Source organism: Homo sapiens, chromosome 5, assembly GCF_000001405.40.
Source record: "Homo sapiens chromosome 5, GRCh38.p14 Primary Assembly".
Lineage (NCBI taxonomy): Eukaryota > Metazoa > Chordata > Mammalia > Primates > Hominidae > Homo > Homo sapiens.
Window position 1 is genome coordinate 64,735,502 of NC_000005.10, and position 19,142 is coordinate 64,754,643.

General features: G+C 36.1%; 1 protein-coding gene across 1 annotated transcript in view; it reads right to left on the bottom strand.

Annotated features, from left to right (window-relative positions):
- SREK1IP1 (SREK1 interacting protein 1) overlaps positions 1–19,142 on the bottom strand; it is a 50,544-nt gene that overhangs the window by 17,354 nt on the left and 14,048 nt on the right. Inside the window, exons 2-3 of the mRNA NM_173829.4 lie at positions 18,814–18,861; positions 5,556–5,699 (exon numbers count right to left, since the gene is read on the bottom strand). Of these exons, the coding sequence (NP_776190.1) occupies positions 5,556–5,699; positions 18,814–18,861 (192 nt within the window). The remainder of the gene's footprint in view (positions 1–5,555; positions 5,700–18,813; positions 18,862–19,142) is intronic.

Genomic DNA, 19,142 nt, shown 5'->3' on the forward strand with positions numbered 1-19,142 from the left:
AGTTTGCTGAAAGTTTTTAAACTAAACATTTAACTTAAGAGATGCGGGGGTACTCTTCATATTTTAGATTTCTTCTTCAAACTTCTGCTGGTTTGTATCTTTCAAGTAATTTGTCCATTTTATCTAAGTTATCCAATTTATTGGCATAAAGTTCTTTAAAACTTTATCTTCTCCCTTTTATGTCCACATGATCTGTAGTGTTATCGATTCTCTCATTTCTGATATCAGTAATATATGCTTTTTCTCTCTCTTTTTAAAATCTCATTAGTTTGGATAGTGATTTTTCAGTTTATGGACCTTCTCAAATAACCAGTTTTTGGTTTTATTGATTTTCTATAGTTTTGTTTTCCATTTCATTGATTCACCTCTGATCTTTATTATTCTCTTTCTTCTGCTTACTGTGGGTTTAATTTGTTCTTTCTTCTAGTTTGTTAAGGTGGAAGTTGAAGTCATAGATTTGAGACATTTCTTCTTTTTTTCTAATACAGGTAATTAGTACTATAAGTTTGTCTCTAAGTACTTCTTTGGAGGCATACCACAAATGTGTTTTTATTTTCATTCAGTTAAAATTACCTTCTAATTTTCTTTTGCTCTTTTTTTGTTGACCCAATAGACTATTTACAATTACATTAAATTATAAACATTTGGGCATTTTCTAAGTAGCTTTCTGCTATGGCCCAGAATCAGGTCTATCTTGATAGGTACACTTAAAAAAAAAATGTGTATTTTGCTGTTGTTGGGTGAGGTGTTACATAAAGGTTAAATAGGTCAAGTTGGTTGATAGTGTTACTCAAGTCTTCCATGTCCTCACAGATTTACTGTCTACTTGTGCCATTAGTTAATGAGAAAGGTGTTGAGATCGCTGGCTATAATTGCAAATTTGTCTATCCATAAGAATTTTTATTTACGGTTATACCAGGATTTGTTTCAGATATTTGTTAGTAGGTGCATAAACACTTAGAATTTTTTTTTTTTTTTGAGATGGAGTTTCACTCTGTTGCTCAGGCTGGAATGCAGTGGCATGATCTCGGCTCACTGCAACCTCTGCCTCCCGGGTTCAAGTGATTCTCCTGCCTGAGCCTCCCGAGTAGCTGATGTTACAGGCATGCGCCACCATGCCCAGCTACTTTTTTGTATTTTTAGTAGAGATGGGGTTTTGCCATGTTGACCAGGCTGGTCTTGAACTCCTGACCTTAGGTGATCCGCCTACCTCGGCCTCCCAAAATGCTGGGATTATAGGTGTGAGCCATCATGCCAGGCCAACACTTAGAATTTTTATATTCTCTTGACCAAATGACCCTTTTATCATTAGGAAAAAAAACCTCTTCATTCCTGGTATTCTTTGCTTTGAAATCTACTTGGTCTGACATTAAAATTGTCACTTTAGCTTTCCTTTTAGTAGTTGTCTCTCTTCTTTTTTTTTTTTTTTTGGAGTTATAGTAATTTCAGAATAACTACTGCAAACATGCCCCCAAAAAGTTATGAGGAACTAAGGAAATAAAACAGTAGCTATGGGAATAATTTCCTCTTCTACTTAGCAATGATGGATTAGGAGTTTACTTACTAGGTTTTATAGAGAAATTGGTTCTAATAAAAACAAAATATACAGAATATGCTGTCCAACACCAGCAGAATACATTCTTCTCAAGCACACAGAACATTCTCCAGAACAGAGCATGTTAGGTGACAAAATAAGTCTTCACAAATTTAAGAAGATTGGAATCATATTGAGTATCTTTTCTGACCACAATGGTATGAAAATGTAAATCAGTAATGAAAGAAAAACTGGAAAATTCACATATATGTAGAAATTAAACCACACACACCTGACCAACCATTGGGTCAAAGAAGAAATCAAAAGAGAAATTAAAAAAAACTTGAGATAAATGAAATTACAACACACCACAATTTATGGGATTCTGCAAAAGCAGTACTAAAAGGGAAATTTATATGATAAATGATTTTATTAAGAAAGAAGAGGGCCAAGTGAAGTGGTTCATACTGTCAAAAAAAAAAAAAAAAGAAAAGAAGGATCTCAAAAAAACACAACCAAACATTATACCTTTAAGAAACTAGAAAAAAAAAACACAATAAATGAAATAGAGACTAGAAAAACAACAGAAAAGCCCAAAGAAACTAAGAGCTTTTTAATAAAAAGATAAAACTGACATATCTTTAACTAGACTAACTCAGAAAAAAGACAGGGCCAAAATTAGAACTGAAAAAAGAGAGTATAAGTGATGTCACAGAAATATAAAGGGGTGTTATATAAATATATAACTATATAAGAGAATACAAGGAACATTTATATGTCAACAAATTGGGTAACTTACAAGAATACACTCCTTGAAACATAAAATGTATCAGGAGTGAATCATGAAGAAATCGAAAATAGGAACAGACCAGTAACAAGTAAAGACACTGGGTCAGTAATCCTCCCAGCAGAGAAAAGCCCAGGACTAGATGGCTTTGCTGGTGAAGTCAACCAAACATTTAAAGAGCAATTAAGCCAATTCTTCCAAAGCACTTCTAAAGAACTGGAGAGAAGAGATCACTTCCAAACTTATTTTACAAGGCTGGTATCACCCTGATACCAAAGCCAGACAAAGGTACCTTAAGAAAATAAAATTACAGACCAATACACCTGATGAACATATATGCAACAATCTTCAGCAAAATTCTAGCAAACCAAACTTAGCAGCACATTAAAAGGATCATACACTATGATCAAGTGGGATTCATCCATGGGACACAAGGATGGCTCAATATATGCAAATCCATAAATGTGAAACATCACATTAAGAAAGGAAGGCTAAAAATCAAATGAATATTTCAATAGATGCAGAAAGAGCATTTGACAATATATGTGCTCATGGATTGAAAGAATATTGTTAAAATGCCTACATTATCTAAAGCAATCTATGAATTCAATGGAATCCCTACCAAAATCCCAATGGCTCTTTTGACAGATATATAAAACATAATCCAAAAATGTATACGGAACCACAAAAGACCCCATACAGCCAAAGCAATCTTAAGAAGAACAAAGCTGTAGGCATCACATTCCTTGATTTCAAAATATATTACACAGCTATAGTAATTAAAATAGTATTGTACTGACATAAAGACAGACACATAGACCAATGTAACAGAATAGGAAGTCCAGGAATAAACCCATGCATATATGATGAACTGACCATGAGGGGTGTTAAGAACACACAATGGGAAAAGGATGTCTTCAGCAAATGGTCTTGGGTCAAGTGTATATCCACATACAAAAGAATAAAACTGTACCCTCACCTCATGCCATATATAAAAATCAACCTAAAATGAAGATATCTGAAAACAACTTTATTCTATTTTCACGCTTGGCTAATAATTTGGTTGAAAATATTATTCTGACTTGGATATAATTTCCCTTCCAAAATGTGAAGGCATTCCCCACATCTATTAGCTTTCAGGACTGCTTTAGAGAAGTGGAAAGCTATTCTGACTCCTGATCTTTGACAGATGACCTGTTTAATCCCTGATCCTGGAAGCCTGGATTATATTTTCCTTGTTCCCTGTGATATGAAGTTTTATAATGGTGTGCCTTTGTGTGGGTCTATTTTTAGCTCTGTGTTTGGTACTTGTGACACCTTTTCAACTGTAAAACTAATGTCCTTCAGTTCTTCGAAATTTTCTTTCTGGGACTCATTTGAGTGAAGTATTTCCTAGACTAATTGTGATATATGTCTGGGAACCAAATAGGTGAAGAAAGTTCTCAGCCTTTAACTTCCTCCCTGCTTTCAGCTATGGTTAGTGTGTCCCAGTCTAAAGAACCTATGTTTTACCCTCTCTAGAAAATAAACCTCCAGTAGTCTGCTGGGGTGATGAAGGGAAGTCATCTGACTTCATAGGGGAAGGGAACTGAGGGTCTAACTCGTGGAGACTTCAAACCAATCCTCCTGTTTTTAGCCTTATATTCAGCCAGAGGTACCCAAGGATACTAATTATCATGTCTTTAGGGGATTCTAGAATATATGTCGGGTTACTTCACAGCTTTCCACACTGCTGAAGAATTTAGCTTTTTCAAGAGTGTAATCAGTTATCACTCTTCTGCTTTTCAGTTTCCAAAATTTTACTGCTATTCCCTCCTAACTCAGTTTCTTTGCCCTTGTGAGTTTACGTCTTTAAATTTTTTTCTACTTCTGGCATTTTAGTGGTATTTCAGTAGAGAACAAAAGTGTGTGTATTCAATCAACTGTCTTTACCCTGAAGCTGTATATACTCATATATGATATGACTCTTGTTTGCCCTCTTTGGGATTCTCTCCCTCTTTTTCCTTTTCAGCTTGTTCTAGCACCTTACATTTGACTTCTTCACTTACCTTAACTGGACATAATATGGAAAGCTTGATATTAAAAACAAAGTTTACTGTTTAATGTTCATCGACAATCTAAACTAAAATGAATTTAAAATTTGTAACTCTCTCATTCCTTGTCTAAGATTATATTCAAATAAGTTATATTTTATTTCAGAGTGATATTTACCATAGTGCATTTTGTAGTTTACAAAGTAGTTTAATTTATGGCATCACGTTTAATCCCTAAAAACCCCACTGCAAGGATGAGCTATTTTATACACAACGTGGGAAAGAAAGGGTTAAATAACAGGTCCGCTATCCACTCTCTCTCTAGGGAGAGAGGAGGATGTGTCCAGGAAAGACAGAGAGTGACCTGGAGAAATCTCTCTGAAACACACTAACAATAGATCTCCTGGAAAAAAAATAAATGATATCTGTTAGCCATAGAACCCCTATTTATATAATTATCATTTACATCCTTTTAGTAGGATGTAACTGAGATTGCTTATGGTAAACAAACCTGGAATCTATAGATTTATGGGGCATAGCTCCCTGGAAAATGTAACTATCCAAGCATAAAATGAGTATGTTTCATGACCAAATCAACTTTCTTTGGTATAAGTAATAAAGAAACTTCTTATGTTAATATTGATCACAGTGGGTTATGAAGTAGAAAGGAAATACCTGGGGAGCTGTATTGGCATGCCCAGAACTCTCTGCTTTGCCTATGCCTCACGATCACTTGTATACTTGAAATTATTAGTGAAGCTTGATACTGGCTAAGATCACTGATCTGCATGAGCATCATTTGACAATCCAACATTTTGTGTTATCCCACAAGGCAGCTGAGCCTCAGGATGGTTAAGTCACTTGGTGAAAGTCATGTGCTAAAACAAATTGCCAAATAGGACTAGAAACCAAATCTTAAATCACACTTTTTCAGCCATTTGACACATATCCTAATGTGATGGGGGAAAAACAACAACAAAAAACATAAGCTGTGTGTCAGAAATAGACTTGCCTCCTGGATCTGTAATTGCTTAGCTGTTCAATCTTAGGCAAATAACTTACAATATTTAAAACCTATTTCCTATGCAGTAGCTCTTACATAAACTATAAAAGAGATCTTAGTAAGTATAATGGAAAGCATGATATAATATGACAGAACATTTACAAACATTTCTAAAGAATGGAAAAAAATATTGCTTACTTTTTTCCTGTAATGCCTGCAATTTATTCAGTTCTTCATTCTCTTCATCGCTATCTTCACTACTTGTACTGCTGACATCCAAAACTATGTCCCTTTTAGGGTCTACTCGGAGAAAATTGCGGCATTCAAAAGTCAGGTGACCAGCTAAGTGAAACAAACAAAAAAAATGTGAGTGATAAAACTATAGATACATTATGTATTTTTGTATGTTTTGCTGCCTCACGGTAACCAGTAAGTTACAATTTCAATAATATAATGTAGAAAGCTTTAACTTTTATTCAGTTGGTAGTAGTTTGGTTATTTTCCCTATACTTTTCCATGAATGCAATACTCAGAAAGAACTTTTTCCTTTCTTCCTCAGAACTCCTTATTCAATAAGCATTTTTGGGGGCCACTTCTTATGGATTTCAAAGTATTGAGTTATTCTATTTCCCTTTCTAAAAATACAGTAATATCTTTAACTAAACTAAGTAAATAAAAAATACCATCATACTTGGGATTTTATATTATATTCCTTTCCCATACCTTTTCTTTCCCAGTTTGACAAATGTACTCATGCAATTATATACCTTTCATCTAATTAAAGTTGGCATAATAATATACAAGCATTAATATAACTGAATGTGCTTTACTAAAGAATACCTAAACATTTAATTCTTGCATCATTTCCCTAAAGACTCTACCCTATAAGAAAACTACAACAGTTATCTACTTATGTATATGTTTTAGAAAGTCAAATATTACAAACACTATAAAAGTAAAGAAAATAATATAACCAATACCTAAATACCTATCATCCAAATGTTAACATTTTGTCATGCTCACTTTCAATTCATTTAAGGAAAAAGCTCACTCGCATGCCTGTGCGCACACACACACACAGCTGGAGAGCTTGTATCAACTTTTGGAACACTTTCTCAATCTCATTCCATTTTTTTTTTTTTGTCCTCTGAAGCAACTGCACTGAAGTTGGTCTCTATCATTCCCAAACAACATATTGTGATATGTATTCTTAAAAAAATAAACTCAATTATACCTATACCTGCAATTTTTTCCTGCCACCCAATATTTTGTGATTTATCTATGTTAACATAACAGGTGTAATTTGCTCATTTTATCTAATCGATAATGTTCTACTGTATGAAAATTATATTTATTTGCTGTACTATTGATAGAAACGTAGGTTGCTTCCAGTAGTTTGCTATTATAAAAAGTGTTTAAATGGGCAGTTGTACATGTCTCTTTGTGCACATGTACTAGGTTTTCTTTAGGGTAGCAGCTTTCAAGTTTTCTTAACAACCGAGAACAGTAAAAAATAATGCAAACAAGTGCACTCATACACACATTCATGGATAAATACACCCTAACACACAAAAACTGAAACAAAAGTTAATTGAAAGATTTCTATATTCAATGTTCAAAACAACCAAGGCTAATGGTGATCAAATAATTCATTTCACGATCCACTAATGATTCACTACAAATCTATGCTAGGGGTTGTTTCCAGTTGTCTCTTATTTTGTGGGTGAAGTCCTTTGGGAGTCCTAGGTTTATACCAGAGACTCTCTAAATAGAGTTCCAATTTGGCTTGGGCAGGGCCCTGGGCCTTATTTTTATCCCCCACATCCTGCCAGCCCATAAAAAATAGAAGTTCAAGAGCCTAGGGTTCATCAAATATCCTCAAGGCTTAATTCCTGGAACTTCTCCTTTCCTTTGGTTGTTGGCCTTTGAATATTCTTAGTTCTTTATTTTTTTCTAGTATATTAATGTATCTAAAATATGTATTGCACATTTTATACAAGTTTCTTAGTTGTTTCTTAGTCTAGTCTGCCATATTATTGGAACAAGTTTTCCTCACTGTGATTTCCTAACAAATGAATCATTCAGAAGCACTCTTTTTAGCTTCCAAACATATGGAGTTTTCAGGCTTTGTGTTTATTGTCAATCTCTAAATTTACTACACTGTTATCAGAGAATGGGATCTGTATGATATTAGTTCTTTGGTATTTGATGAGACTTCTTTTGTGGCCTAGGATGTAGTAAATTTAGGAAAGATTTGTTATGTATTTTGAAAACACAGTCATATACTGCATAATGGTGTTTAGGTCAATGATGGACCACATAGACAACACAGGTCCCATAAGATAATAATACTGTTCCTTGTCAATGTTTAGATATGTTTAGACACACAAATACTTACTACTGTGTTACAACTGCCTACACTATTCAGTACAGTAACATGCTATACAGGTTCATAGCCTAGCAACAATAGGCTATACCATGTAGCCTAGGTGTGTAGTAGACTATACATCCAAGTTTGTGAAAGTACACTCTATAATTTCCACACAAAGATGAAATTGCCTAATGACACACTTCTCAGAATGTATCCCTGTTGTTAAACAACACAACCATATATTGTTATTTGTTGAAAAGGGTTCTATATCTGTTTGCTTGTTCAACTCTTCTCCATCTTAATTTTTTTGTCTAATAACTTCTGATAGAAGTACTTAAAATTATACAAGTATTGATTTGTCAATAATTGCTATTATAAATAATGTTGAAATGAGCAGCTGTAGACATCTCTGTGGGCATGCACCAGGTTTTCTCTAGGGTAGATTTGTCAATTTCTCCTTGTAACACAGATTTTGCTATATATTTTGAGACATTAGTAAATGCTTTGAAGATCATTACTTTATCTTTTTAGTTTATTGTTCGTGAGTTTCCACTTATCACCAGTAGTGCTTTTGCCTCAAAAGTCTGAAATTATAATGGTTCTGTTATAGTAGGTAGCTAGTCAGGCATGAGTGGAGCAGGAGAGGGCTCCCCCACTCACAAAGGAACATCAGGCAACCATCAAGTGATGGTCCAGCAGCTGTCACACTGTCTCTCTAAAATGATAATTGGTCACAGCCAGTGCCAGGGAGAAGCAGTTTCTGAACAGATAAAAATACCTGAAATTGATAATCAGCAGCTTCCAATAAGATCTCAGGAACCGGGCAAGTGGACACAAGCATGTGCATTAAGAGGCAAAAATGAAGGAGTATGACCTTCTGGGGGCATTCCACCAGAAAAGGGAAGAAAAAGCCTCAGGTGAACATGTGTACAACTCCAGTAAACACACTGTGCATGCTCACCTCCCAAGCGCAGGTAGGGCACCATGCATAAGAGAACAATGAAGGGAAAGGGGTGCAAGACGCTGGAAGTAAGCCAGCATGTAAAATGCTAGGTTCAATGTTAATTGGGGCACTTAACCTCAAGGTGCCTGTCTGGGCCTCTTCCAAGTATATTTTCCTTTCTTTCGTTCCTGCTTTAAAGCTTTTTAATAAATGTCTACTCCTGCTCTGAAACTTGCCTCAGTCTCTTCTTCTGTCTCATGACCCTCAGTAGAATTCTTTCTTCTGAGGTGGCAAGAATAGAGGTTGCTGCAGACCTGGACGGATTCGCCACCGGTAACTAGGATACCCACCACCGCTAACAGTTCCACTAGTGCTCTTTTGTTTATTATTCGTTGGGTAATATGAAATTGCCATTTTTGTAGGTAAAATAGTGGAATATCAGCAATGTTCAATCAAATATGTGTTTTTTCCTTGTCCCTTTATTTTGAAAATTTCTGTGTAGTTTTTAGTTTTATGTGTAGTTTTATTAATCACAACACGTAGTTGGACTTAATTTTTTAAATTTGATTTGATATCAGCACAATTTTTAACATTAATTTCTTAGCATGGGAAAAATAGTTCCTGCTTCACAGGAAGCCGTGTAAATTCACTCCTCATACTTACATATACTTACAAGGTATAGGCTGAGGTTGCCAATTCTTATTTGTTTTCTTCTAATTATCTTATGGGAACTCAAACACACTATACGCATTCTTGCTTCTTTCAGTGAGTGAAATTTTTTCTAATCCCTGCTTCACAGCCTTTTTAAGGAGTCTGACTTTACTTGAGGGGCTCCACCCTTGCCATACTGCCATCCCCAGGGCTTGAAAGTGTCACTCCACAGCTCTTAAACACCTACCCAGTAGGCCTGTGGATCCACTGTTTTCAGTAAGATTCCCTGCTCTGACTTTGAGCTCATTTTCTTGTCTAGCACCTGGGGATTTCCCTTTCATTCTTTTGAGTTGGGTTTTTTTGTTGTTGTGGTTGCTGTTGACATAACACTTTTTTCCTCCTGCATTGTTACATGTTTGGAGCAGAATGGTGGGCTTTCTAGGTTGGTTTGGCTTGCCTCTTTGATCAGAACTCCTGATGATACAGGCTGGGCATGGTGGCTCATGCCTGTAATACCAGCACTTAGGGAGGCTGAGGCAGGTGGATCACTTGAGTCCAAGAGTTCAAGACCAGCTTGGCCAACATGGCGAAATCCTGTCTCTACTAAAAATACAAAAATTAACGGCATGGTGGTGCATGCCTGTAATTCCAGCTACTCAGGAGGTTAAGGCACAAGAATTGCTTGAACCTGGGAGGTGGAGGTTGCAGTGAGCTGAGATTGTGCCACTGCACTCCAGCCTGGGCAGCAGAGTAAAACTGCCTCAAAAAAAAAAAAAACTCCTGATGCTCAATCTTTACAGTACTTAAGCTAGCTTTGTACCCAAATACCTCTCATCCTCTCATTGAAATGAATATTAAAAATAAATAAAATGCTTAAATAATGACCATACTGGTAGCAGTCTCTGCCCCACATCCATTTTAGCTTTGCTTCAAGCAAAGCGACCCTAAGGTGATAAGACAAATTAATTGCAAAACTACAAATAAAGTTTCTTACTGATTTTTTTTTCTATTGGGGAATAAGTTAGTGAAGCCTAGGTAATAACTGTGTTGCAAATTACAGTTCTTATGGCTAGCAATCTAAATGTTCTTACAGCAAACAATGTAGAAGAAAAAAAAAGGTGGAGGATTCACCCTTCTGGATTTTAAAATTTATTATAAATCTATAGCAATCAAAGCAGTTGGTACTGGCATAAGAATAGACACACAGACCAATGGAATAGAATTGAAAGTCCAGAAATAAACCCACATATACATAGCGAACTGAGTTTTAGCAAGAGTGAAAGTCCATCCAGTGTGGAAAGAATTGTCTTTTCAACAGATGGTACAGAGACAACTTTTCCACATGGGAAAGAATGTAGTTGGACCCCTCACCTCAGACTATATGTAAAAATTAACTAAAAATGGGTCAAATAAAATAAAATATAAAACCATAAAGCTCTTAGAAGAAAGCATAGGAGTAAATGTTCATTACCTTGGATTTGGCAATGGATTCTTAGATCTAACACCAAAAGCACAAGCAACAAAAGAAAAAAATTGATAAAATGGTCGTCAGAATTAAAAACTTTTGTGCAAAATTATCAGGAAAGTGAAAAGGGAGAATATATTTGCAAATCATCTATCTGGTAGAGCTTAATATCCAGAATACATAAAGAACAACTATAACTCAACAAAAACACAACCTAGTTAAAAAATGAGCAAAGGCCTTGAATAGACATTTGTCTATAGAAGAAATACAAATGGTGAATAAGCACATGAAAAGATACTTAACATCATTAGTCATTAAAGAAATGCAAATCAAAACCACAATGAGGTACCACTTCATACCTATGAGGATGATCTGAATTGTTTCTACTCACAACGCTTCTGACATCAAATGTGTGGGTTTTTTCCACACCAACAGCCAGTTCTCCAACTTTCTGGACACTAACTGGGTGTTCAACAATTCAATTCAATTCTGTTACTACCCAGGGTTAGCACAAGTTAAGGGCTCAGACCCACAAGACTATTCCCATTTCTGATGCCTATAGCGAGTCTAGGCCACCCATACTTCTGACCAGCCAGCTTTATAAGGTCAGGGGGTTCCCATAACCCCATTCTCAAATTCGAAAATTTGCTAGAAAGGCTCACAGAACTCAGCAAAACAGTTTACTTACTATTACCTGTTTATTATATAGCACGGAACTCAGAACAGCCAAATGGAGGAGATGCGTAGGGCAAAGAAGGGGCATAGGGAAAAGAAGGGGCATAGAGCTTCCATGTGCTCTCTGTGTGCCACAATCGTGGCACTTCTGTGTGTTCACAAACCCAGCAGCTCTCTGTACCCTGTAGTTTAGGGGTTTTTATGAAGGCCCCATTAGATAGGCGTGATTGATTCAATCACTGACCACTGGTGATTAAATTCAATCTCTAGCTCCTCATCCTTCTCCCCTTTCTAGAGGTCTGGAAGTGGGGCTGAAAGCTCCAACTTTCTAATCACATGGATTGTTCCTCTGGCAAATGGCCTCCATCCTGAAATTATCTAGGAGCCTCCCAAGAATCGCCTTATTAGTATAAACTCAGGCATGGTTGAAAGGGGCATGCTATGAATAATAAAAGATGCTCCTATCACCCGTATCACTCAGGAAATTCCAAGAGTTTTAGAAGCTCTGTGTCAAGAACCAGGGACAATGACCAAATATACATTTCTTATGATCATAAATGGCTATTTTTTAAAAGGGAAAATACGAGTGTTGGCAAAAAGGTAGAGAAATTAGAGCCCTTGTATATTTCTAGTGGGAATGTAAAATGGTATAGCTGTTACGAAAACCAGTTTGGCAGTTTTTCGGCCGGGCGCGGTGGCTCACGCCTGTAATCCCAGCACTTTGGGAGGTAGAGGTGGGTGGATCACGAGGTCAGGAGATTGAGACCATCCTGGCTAGCACGGTGTAACCTCGTCTATACTAAAAATATAAAAAAGTAGCCGGGCATGGTGGCACACACCTGTAGTCCCAGCTACTTGGGAGGCTGAAGCAAGAGAATTGCTTGAATCTGGGAGGCAGAGGTTAGGTTGCAGTGAGCCGAGATGGCGCCACTGCACTCCAGCCTGGGTGACAGAGCGAGACTCCACCTCAAAAAAAAAGAAAACCAGTTTGGCAGTTTTTCAAAAAAATCAACATAGTAATTCTGCTCCTATGTACATACCCCAAAGAATTGAAAACAGGGACTCAAACAGATACTCGTACATCAACATTCATTGCAGCACTTGTCATAATAGCTAAAATGTGGAAACAATCAAGTGTCTATCCACAGTGGAATGGATAAACAAAATGTGGTATATACATATAGAGAAATAATCCAGCCATTAAAACGAATGATGTTATAATACATGCTACAACATGGATGAACTATGAAAACATTATGCTAAGGGAAATAAGTCAGACACAAAAGGACAAATATGTATGATTCTACTTATATGAAATATCTAGAATAGGCAAATTCACAGGGATAGGTTAATAAGGGCTGGGGAAAGGAGGGAGTGGAGAGTTACTGGTTAATGGTTACAGATTTGGGGCAATGAAAAAGTTTTGCAATAAATAGTAACGATGGCTTTACAACATTGTGAATGTATTTACTGCCACTGAATTGTATATTTAAAAAATGGTTATAATGGCAAATTTTGTGTTATATATATTTTAACACAATTTTTTAAAAAAGCAAATGAAAAGGAGCATGGCATAGTATTAAATCTTACAGATAACCAGAGTTCATATCTCAGTTTTCCCACTGACTAACACAGTAACCCTGGGCCTCAGTTTTCTGATTTGGAACAATAACAAAAATAACAAGTATTGAGGATTTACTGAAGCCAGTCATTGATCCAAACACTTGCATGAATTCATTTAATTTACACAACTCTATGGGATTAGGTACTACAATGATCCCACTTTACAGACAGGAAACTGAAACACAGTGATCAAGCAATTTGCCTAATGTCACATAGCTAGTAAGTGCCAGCAGAGGTTTGTACCTAAGTAATCGGGTGCCAGAACCACTTGTCTTGAATGTTAATAAAACTGGAGATCATGAAACCTATTTCAGAGTTATTTTAAGAATAAAATAATATCTTTCATGCAGTTAGTACAGAGACTAGCACTAAATAGGTATTTAATACACGGTACCAGGTTATGACCATTTATTTTACTAATACAAGGACAAGTATATTCTCCCCTTTCCTCCTTCCAGGAGTAGCTATGCCACATAATAATAATAATAATAATAATAATAATAATAATAATAATAATAATAAAAACCCTCCAGTTTCATGTTTCATTTTGACTGTACAGATAAAAATCTGTCAATCTATACACACACACAAAAACCCTCTTGTTTTATAAATAGGGTACCCAAATGTCTACTTCTGGGCTTACAGAATATATAGACTATGCTAACAGCTACTAATTTAACCAGGCTTTAGCTCTACCTAAAATCCTCAGATTTGAGAACACACAAGCTATTTTATAAGCTTTTAAATTCCTAAACCCAGTTCATTCCACCAAGCTTCCACATCCCTAACATTTTGGTTCCACCCCTAAAAATGCCGGCCTCTTCTGTAGTCATATATTCTTTCTTGAAGTCTTTTTTTTTTTTCCTTTGAGAGAGGGTCTGGCTCTGTTACCCAGGCAGGAGTGCAGTGGCACAATCTTAGCTCACTACAACCTCTGCATCCTGGGCTCAAGCCAACCTCCTACCTTAGCCTCCAAAGTAGCTGAAACAACAGGTGCACGCCACCGTGCCTGGCTAGTTTTTTTGTTTGTTTTTTGTAGAGATGAGGTTTCGCCATGTTGCCCAGGCTGGTTTCAAATTCCTGGGCTCAAGCAATCTGCCTGTCTCAGCCTCCCAAAGTGCTAGGATTACAGGCATGAGCCACTGCACCTGGCCAACTTCCTTGGAAGTCTTATCCTCATATTTATCTTTTATTTCCCCACTGACCTAGCTGATCATTGCCCCTTTCCTAGTCTTTTTCGATAGATTCTTAAACATGTAACTGTCCTATGCGCTCACATAGTGTTGCCACCACACTTAAGGGATATTTGGCTCTTCCTTGAGGGCATTTCTCTATAGTTAATTATCCTTTACCTCAGTATTATTAGTATTCTCCAGGCTTCTCAATATTGTTTCCAAGTAGTAATCCTTAACTGTCCACTCAGCTCCCTGCTGCAGGTTAACAGCCCCATTCATTGAAATTTTTTGAATGTGGCTCATACTCTAACTCTTTACCCCAAGCCCTGCCACGAGATTGAATGGACAGCCTAGGTTGTTGGATAGCTTTTCTGGGTTCCCTGACATTCTAGATTCCATGGTCACACTATGGTCCTTGTTATCATCTGCAACTGTTTTATCTCTGAAATTTTAAACTCCAATATTAAACTCTGACTGTGTCTTTCATCCTTCTAGCTTTTTCATTCATTTACACTCATGCATAGATCTGTTTTTGATTCTCATTATGATCTTCATTCCCTTAATGCCTTCATTTTCTCCCAGTCTCAAATCTCTTATTACTGACAATATGAACAACCTTTTACAAGTCTGACTCTTTTATATACCCTTGTTCATCCTCATTGCAGACAAATGAATCTGACTCAAAGTTACTATTTCTCTGGGTTGTTACCCACCACTCCCCCACCACCTCACAGAGTAGTCAGGCAATGCTTGAGTGTAACAACCACCTGTTCATGCATATTAGCATTTTTTATTTGTCCTTAGTCAACTTCCTCTCCTACTTCCCTCAATGACTTTCTCAAACTGGTACCTGTCTCAAAACATTCATCACTCACTGTCCTGTCCTACTCAAACTCCCTACCTAAGGAGGCAATCCTGTCTTCTAATTTACAAACAAAATTGAGATTACCAGGCTGGATCTCCTACTTTCTATCACCACCTGAAAACATCTATATCTATTCTCATCTAGTTTCTTCCAAACTTCAGAGGTATCCTTGTCATACCTCTTAGAGGAACTTGCTTAATCTTTCCTTATCCTCCAGTATTTGTAATATGTCCTCTAATGTTTCCCTCAGTCTATACCAACATTTTATACCTTAAAAAAGAAAAAAGAAAAAAACCCTCTCCATTTATCCCAGTTTCTTCCAGAAATTACTCAATGTTTTGTACCTCTCTCATGGAAATTTCTTGAAAATGGAGACTACATTGGCTTTCTCTATTTCATCCCCCACCACTCAGGCCTGAATCTACACACTTTGTTTCATGACCTACAAATCTACTTAAACTGATCTTGCTAAGGGAAGCAAAGCATCCTACCTGCCAAACCCAAAGAACATTTTTCAGTTCATTTCTTATAACTCTTATCTGTTGCACCTGACAATTTCCCCCACATCCTTTGGCTAATGTGATGCTACATGCTCTTGTTTCTTCTGCCATATTTTCCCGGTCACTTTTCCCTCGGTTTATGCCTATATTATTTTACTCCACCATCTGATATTGTACTCTATGAGGAGTCTGTTATTATTCTAAAATATGTTTAATTAAATATCATATAGGTCAACAAAATATAAATGTGGAGAAAAAAAGCTTGGTTGTTTCTAGGAAACAAAAGCTGTACCTTTAGAAAGATGTAATTAAGTTGCTTTTAAAAAGCAATTGACAAATTCAGCAATGGCAATAAGACTGTAAAAGGAAAAAAATAATCTAAAATAATGGGACAAGGTACCTGCTTCTCAAAGGGAATGCCATTGGCATTTGGGGCCAGAATGTTCTTCACTGTCCAGGACTGTCCTACCATTGTAGGACGTTTATAATCTTTGGGCTCTACATAGTAAGCGTCATAGTGCTGCACCCTCCATCCTGTTGCTGACAATAAAAAACACTTCTACAGATTTCTAGGGAGGCAGTACCACCTGTGGTTGAGAATTAATGATAAATTTCTTTACAAGTATCTTAACTTCTTGCCTACCTTTGAAGAAGCAAACTATAAAAAATAGAAAATGCATTTCAGATGTGGTTTACACACACAAGACTGAACACCAATAAACAGACATATAAACAGGCAATAAAAAAGTGACAAATTTATATTTATGTAAAATGTTAAAGGTATTTACATATTTGTTTTTATTTCCTGCTGCTGTGATCAACCACTGGGTCTACTATACTAATCTTTTAATCATACTTTCTGAAAACTATCATGATTATTTGAGACATTTATCCCATAAATAATCCCAAGGCCTAGTGTCCTTGCTGTTTTTAAATATTCCGAAGTTACCAACTTAAAAATAAATTCTAATAAAAACTCATTATCAAAATAACTCTTTTTCTGTGAATTTTTTTTGTGTGTTTTTTTTTTTTTTTTTTTTTTTTAGATGGAGTCTCGCTCCATCGCCCAGGCTGGAGTGCAGTGGCGCAATCTCGGCTCACTGCAAACTCCACCTCCCGGGTTCACGCCATTCTCCTGTCTCAGCCTCCCAAGTAGCTGGGACTACAGGCGCCCGCCACCACGTCCGGCTAATTTTTTGTATTTTTAGTAGAGACGGGGTTTCATCGGGTTACCTAGGATGGTCTCGATCTCCTGACCTCGTGATCCACCCACCTTGGCCTCCCAAAGTGCTGGGATTACAGGCGTGAGCCACCATGCCTGGCCTGTGAATTTCTTTTAAGTTAATTTTGCTAAGGAAATTCTGCCACAGAAAGAGAGACCCATGTTATTTAATAATATATTCAAACTTAACTCAAAACTTTAAAAAACAATATATTCACTATTGAAATATACTGAGAAATAAGCTCTTTTTCTATCAAGTATTGAAATTCTTTAAATTGTACAATCTGAACAACTATTTTTGCAACAAAAGAGAGAGAATATTCTTTTGTAAACAATTGAAAAATACCCATATTTTTGGGAATTAAAAGTATTTCAAATCATCTTCTTGACCTTTCTCTTACCTTTATACAAGCAATACAAAAATTCTGGCCCCCAAATAAAAGATAAGCTAATTTGTAAATGAAATTTCTATTAGAAAGACTTGTAAATTGAGAAGACCTTCATCTTTAATAGCTGTGGAGATGTAAATTTAACACAGAAGGGAAATATGACTAAATTTTTCCACAGGAGACAAATCAGAAATTGTTTAACAACTAAATCACTAAAATCAAAGATCTAAATAATAAAGCAAAAATAACTAAATACGGAAATATTGACAAAACGATTTGCTGACTTGGCTTCTCCTAAAGAATTCTAATTACTGCAGATACTTCCATTGTTGTCTTAAATAAAATAACAATGAGGAGACTACATCAACAAATATTTTATTTCCAGAAAATGAATTTAATTGCTTTCCTCAAAGTGTTAGGTTAAAAGAAGTCCAAGTATAGAGACTGATATTAGTAGACAGACTGGGAAATCCATTCCAGATTTTGAAGTAAATGAAGCATTTGTAGGTTCTTAATTCTTGAATAAAGAAATGAGGCAGGTAAGTCAGCAATGATTAAAAGAAAGTAAACAAAGTTAGCAATGCTTGAAAGAAAGCAAACAAGTAGAAATATAAACAAATTTAAAAATAGAAAAGATTTCATTGCACTCATTTCTTGCGTGCAAGTACATTCTTCAGTTTTCATTTATGTGAGTGATATATATAGTTATATATGCAATTTTGCTACTTGAGCAAGCTTCCCTTGAGCCAGTTTTAGCTTTGCTTGGAAGTATGCGACTTGTTCTCTCAGCATTCTTTTAATGTGCCCTTCTGATGGAGATTTATGCCGAGTACTCTCTTATCACATGTTCTTGCATGAACATCTTTTTGTCAAATCATTCTTAGTTGGTAAAACTTAATAACTCTTCAATGAATTGGAATGTATTAACAATCCAGGCTAATTCACACGGTCTGCAAACAACTTAGAAAATAGCAAATGTTGTTGCTATAGCTGTTACTAAAGCTTTAGGCATTACTATATTTAACTAAAGAATATTTACTTACAGTATAAAATTACAAATTTATATTTATAATTACACATGCTTAAGTTTACCTTTTCACTCACTTAATCATAATGGAGATTAATAATTGTTTAAATCAAGTTTTCGCCCATGAGCAGAAATTCTGAGACCAATTGAATCTTTAAAGTAAATGTAATAAACACAAAAAATCTTCATAAATAGTTTGCATTGCCTTCACTTTTTCTCCTAGTATGTGGAAAGGGGGAAAAGAATAAGTATGTATATAGTTTTTAAAAAATATACTTTCTCCAAACTCCTTAATCTACTACTAACCACCTGTATCTTCATGCTACTTTTGGTAGTCATCAGATACATAGCTACCTGTTACTGGGTCTAAAGCAGGGAAGAAAAGTGAATATTTAGTGCTAACAGAGGAATTTCTGTAACTAGATGTTAGCTTAGGGCTAAAGGACTATGCAACTGGGCCCCTGAAATCAGGGTGCTACATTATATTGCCCAAAGAGGCCATGATTCCAGTATGAATAATGCAAAGCATGTCATCTTTTAGAATACTTACGGTAGCCACATTTTTTACAGCCTGCTCTGACACTGTCCTTGTTGCAACCTGAAATACAATTGGATAGAATTTTAGGAAGTAAATAAATATGCGAAAACTTAAAAACTTTATTGTATGAAAAAAGCTAAGAAAAACCATTTGTTATAGAATTTCTTTTTTTTTGTTGTTGAGACAAGGTGTCACTCTGTCACCAAGGCTAGAGTACACTGACATGATCACAGCTCACTACAGCCTCCAGCTCCTGGCTCAGGCGATCCTCCTACCTTAGCCTCCCAAGCAGCTGAGACTACAGGCATGTGCCACCACACCTGGCTAACTTTTAAATTTTT